Source organism: Homo sapiens, chromosome 4, assembly GCF_000001405.40.
Source record: "Homo sapiens chromosome 4, GRCh38.p14 Primary Assembly".
Classification (NCBI taxonomy): Eukaryota; Metazoa; Chordata; class Mammalia; order Primates; family Hominidae; genus Homo; species Homo sapiens.
Genome location: NC_000004.12, coordinates 43353208 through 43357599, shown reverse-complemented (window position 1 = coordinate 43357599; position 4392 = coordinate 43353208). Strand labels below are relative to the sequence as shown.

Below are 4392 nucleotides of genomic sequence, written 5' to 3'. Positions count from 1 at the left end.
ACACATGGTGAAAATAATTTTGCATGACAGATTTGGTCAGTCTTTTCTCAAACTCTATTCATTTCAAACATGGCTAGTATTTTTACACTGAACCTGGCAAATATAGGAGTAATTTGGATTTTTTTCCACAGGCTGTAAGCCAGCTGGTTCTCTGAGGCCTTGTTTCAAGGTCTTTTGATAAGCAGAAACGCTCCATTTTCACAGGTGACTAGTAGTTCTGTCTTTCCATTAGAAATTACCTGCAAATACTATATTTTATCAGGTGTAAAGTGGCAATTTTCCCTCTCAATTACAAATCTCAGAATATATTCAGACATCAGGCCAACCAAGAAAGAAATTTAATAACATTTTCATTGTAGAAACAACTGTTTCCCAAAGATCCATATGAAATAAACAAGGTAAACCAACCATTCCCCTATGAAAGTGGTAATTCCCACCAAAGGTAGCATTGAGCCTTTTAATCATACTCTCCAAACTGTTAGGACTCTGTCCTTCTATAACCAGAAAGTCAACCTGATATAACTGATGAGAGGAAACTCAACAATGAATGTGTTGAGGGTAGCAATTTCATCACAGTCAAGTCGCTAAAGGAACAGAAACAGGGTTCTCTTTCATCATACCCGATCAAACACATTGGGCATACCCTTGCTTTTCTACCTTTCCCCCACCAGGATGCCTTTTTTCTATAACCTTTGTTTGTCTATGGTGTACTTGGACTTGAAAGCACGAGTATAGTTTCATTCTTCCAGTGAAGCCATAACATTTCTGAGAGATGATTATCTTTCTGAACACTTGGGGATACTTATTCCCCTTCATTCCTTTATTTATTTATTTATTTTTGCAATTAGCACATTTACAAACATCATTTAATTATTTAGTTTTCAATTCTCTGAGAATTTACAATTTTTTCAGCTTTAATAATATTTAACCAAAGAAGTAGTATATATTTATGATGTACAAAATAATGCTTTGATATGTGAATACATTGTGTAATGACTAAAGGTAATGAACACATACATCACCTCACATATTTATCATGTTTGTGTGGTAAGAACATTTAAAGTTTAATCTGTTAGCAATTTTCAAGTACATATTATATTATTATTAACTATAGTCACCATGCTCTGCAATAGATCTCCCAAATTACTCCTCCTGTCTAACTGAAACTTCATACCCCCTGACCATCAACTCCCTATTCCCCACCTACCAATTCCCAGACCCAGGTAATTACCATTCTACTCTCTACTTCTATGAATTTGACTTTTTAAGATTCTACATATAAGCAAGATCATGCAGTATTTGTCTTTCTGTACCTGGCTTCTTTCAGTAGTATAATGTCCTCTTCCAGGTTCATCCATGTTGTCACAAATGACAGGTTTTTCTTTCTTTTAAAGGCTGATTAGTATGCCATTGGATAGATAGGTAGGTGGATAGATAGATATAGATAGATAGATGATAGATAGATAGATAGATAGATAGATAGATAGATAGATAGATAGATGATAGATAGATAGATAGATAGATAGATAGATAGATAGATAGATAATCATATTTTCTTCATTCATTCATCTGGTAATGAACACTTAGGTTGATTTTATATTTTGGCTATTGTGAATAATGCTGCAATGAGCATGAGAGTACAGATATCTCTTCTCTTTTATTCTTGTTTATTCTCTTTACAGACTTCTTGTTCCCCTAACCATACTTCAAAGCCTGTTATATTCTTCTTTATGTCTGTAGTACTCAGAACAGAGTCCTACACACAGTACATAATTATGAACAATATTTTTTTCATCAATTCCTCTTTGAAGCAGTATTGCATGATGGTTAACAGCAGAGCTCTGAAATCTTATTGCTTAAGTTTGAAACCTGGCAACACCATTTATTCACTGTGTAACCTTGGGCAAATTGTCATGCACCTAGGTTTCCTCATCTATAAAGTGAATATAACAATCACAGATTCTTCTCAGGGTTCTGGTGAGAATCAAATGAGTCAATACATAAATAGTGCCTAGCACTAAGTAAATGTTTTATAAGAGTTAGAAACTACAAAGTTAGAAATTACAAAACAAAAGGAACAGCTTCTGTATGAAGCTGTAATATATATCTGGCACTGTACTAAGCCCTATACATATATTATCTCATATAATTTCCAGAAAAGTATGATGAGCTTGATATTATCAGGATTTTAATGGTGAAAACATTGATGATAAGAGGACACAGAAAATAAGGGAGTAAATAGTAGAATTGGGATTAGAATCCAGATATGCTTGCCAAAAAATAAAGACTTTTTCCTGTAATACACTTTTATCTATGAGTATATATTGGTTATTTTGCTTTAAAGTTTGTAGAGCCTTTTACATATGTCATTTCAAGTGAACTTCATAATGATGTTGGTGTAATCATAGTATTGTTATTTTTATTTACTGATGAGAAAATAGATGCTGGAGAAAACAAGTTTGTTTAAGCTCAAAACTCAAATTATGTATTTCAAAGACAAGATTGTGAACCAAGTATCTCAACTGCCAGTCCAGTGGTCTCTCCACCACATTAGGCATGATGATGCCTCTATCTCTTTGTGTATTATCTGTGAACGCTGCTTTCCTGTTTATTTAATGAGTGTGAGAACTTTATATTTCCCTTGAGAACATCTTACCTGAATTGTGTAATGTTGCCATAAATGGCTGATTTTCTTCTCTTAGGTCACATGGAGGCAAACTATTACTACAGTGCTTAGTTTCGCATGTTTCAAAGCTCCTTAAAGCCTGCTGTTTGCGAATCACAGACGACCAAAAACTTTATGCAAGAATGACCATCTATTTCTTTCTAACTGCACACATTCCAGGTAATATATCCAGACCTCATTGTCAGAAGCAGTTTTTAAATGCCAACTGTATCAATCACGCCTATGTCCTGTTTGCAGAACTATTATATCCATTAAGGTAGACACAAAACAAGTAACATTATATTTTTTAAATCTATAAAGCAAATAAAAAATTTGTGTAGGATTACTTAAACATTTTTAGAAGCAAAAAAGAACATTTTATATTACTAACTGAAAATCTATCTTAAGTAATAATCATGGTTCTTAGCAGTAAAGTTGTTTTTAGAAATAAATCTATAATATTAAATTAATATATTTTTCTTCTAACAGAAATGACTGAGAAAATGCTATTGAACTTTTTTTGTTTTCTGTTTTTGAGATGGAGTTTTGCTCTTGTTGCCCAGGCTGAAGTTTAGTGGCACAATCTCAGTTCACTGCAACCTCCGCTTCCTGGGTTCAGATGATTTTCCTGCCTCAGCCTCCTGAGAAATCAGCTGCCTGAGCCTCTGATTTCTGTCCCTATAGTAGCTGGGATTACAGGTGTGCACCACTACCCCCAGCTAATTTTGTATTTTTAGTAGAGACAGGGTTTCACCATGTTGACCAGGCTGGTCTTGAACTCCTAACCTCAGGTGATCTGACCACTTCGGCTTCCCAAAGTGCTGGGATTACAGGCATGAGCCACCACTCCTGGCACTATTTAACTTTTAACAATTTCTTTCTTGATTTTATCATCTTGACTACTAGTAACCTCCAGTGTACATTAATTTATTCATATTTCTGTATCTTTATTTTATATGCCAACTCATCCCAAAGTCAGTTTTATTCATTTGACCAGTGATTAATAGGTTATTTGTTACCATCTTTAAGCAGGTATACATAATATAAAAATTCTTGCTCAGGAAATGCAAAGATGACTATAATTTTTTCTTATTACCACCATAAGAGTTGTATATGGTGGCATAAAAAGAATAATACAAATTGTAACTGCATTATGAATATTGACCCAAGTGTTAATGATTGAACCTTTCACTTAGATAGCTGTTCTCTGAACTCTCCTCAGAAATACCAACTACAGTTACAATCTCATTAGCATTAGTTTCATATAGTTCTATAATTTTTGTGTAAGATCTATGTATAGTTTTTCAATTTGTTTCATTGTGTACATATACCCAAGCCAAAATAATATGTAATGAACTAATTCAGATAAACGATCCCAGATACAGTAATAATTCTTTACATTTACATCCAGCAATGTCCTTCTTCCAAAAATCCTCTTAGTGCAACAGTTATTGTATATTCAGAGATCTTGAATACTTTAAAACCTCTAGTGTCCAGCCAATTTTTCCTCACTCAATCAACCTTATCATCTCCCACGAAGTGTGGATACTCGAGTTGAGTAATAAAATAGAATAGATACTAAACTCCATCACACAAAATGTGTAGCATTTCAAATTGGACTGAAAATAAACTTTCTGTAATCTATACCAACAAAGTTAGCTAATTAAACACCAAATATTTACAAATGTATCATCTTGAAGATTAACCAGGATTCCAGAGCTTGTAGT

General features: G+C 33.6%; 1 annotated feature.

Moving 5' to 3' along the window:
* Window positions 3009-3178: an enhancer, noted in NCBI's record as "experimental_80132 CRE fragment used in MPRA reporter constructs". NCBI's record gives its function as "activates a minimal promoter by MPRAs in K562 erythroleukemia cells, with activity observed for both the introgressed and non-introgressed 4:43356524 variant alleles {active_cell/tissue: K562}" and the evidence as "EXISTENCE:reporter gene assay evidence [ECO:0000049][PMID:34662402]".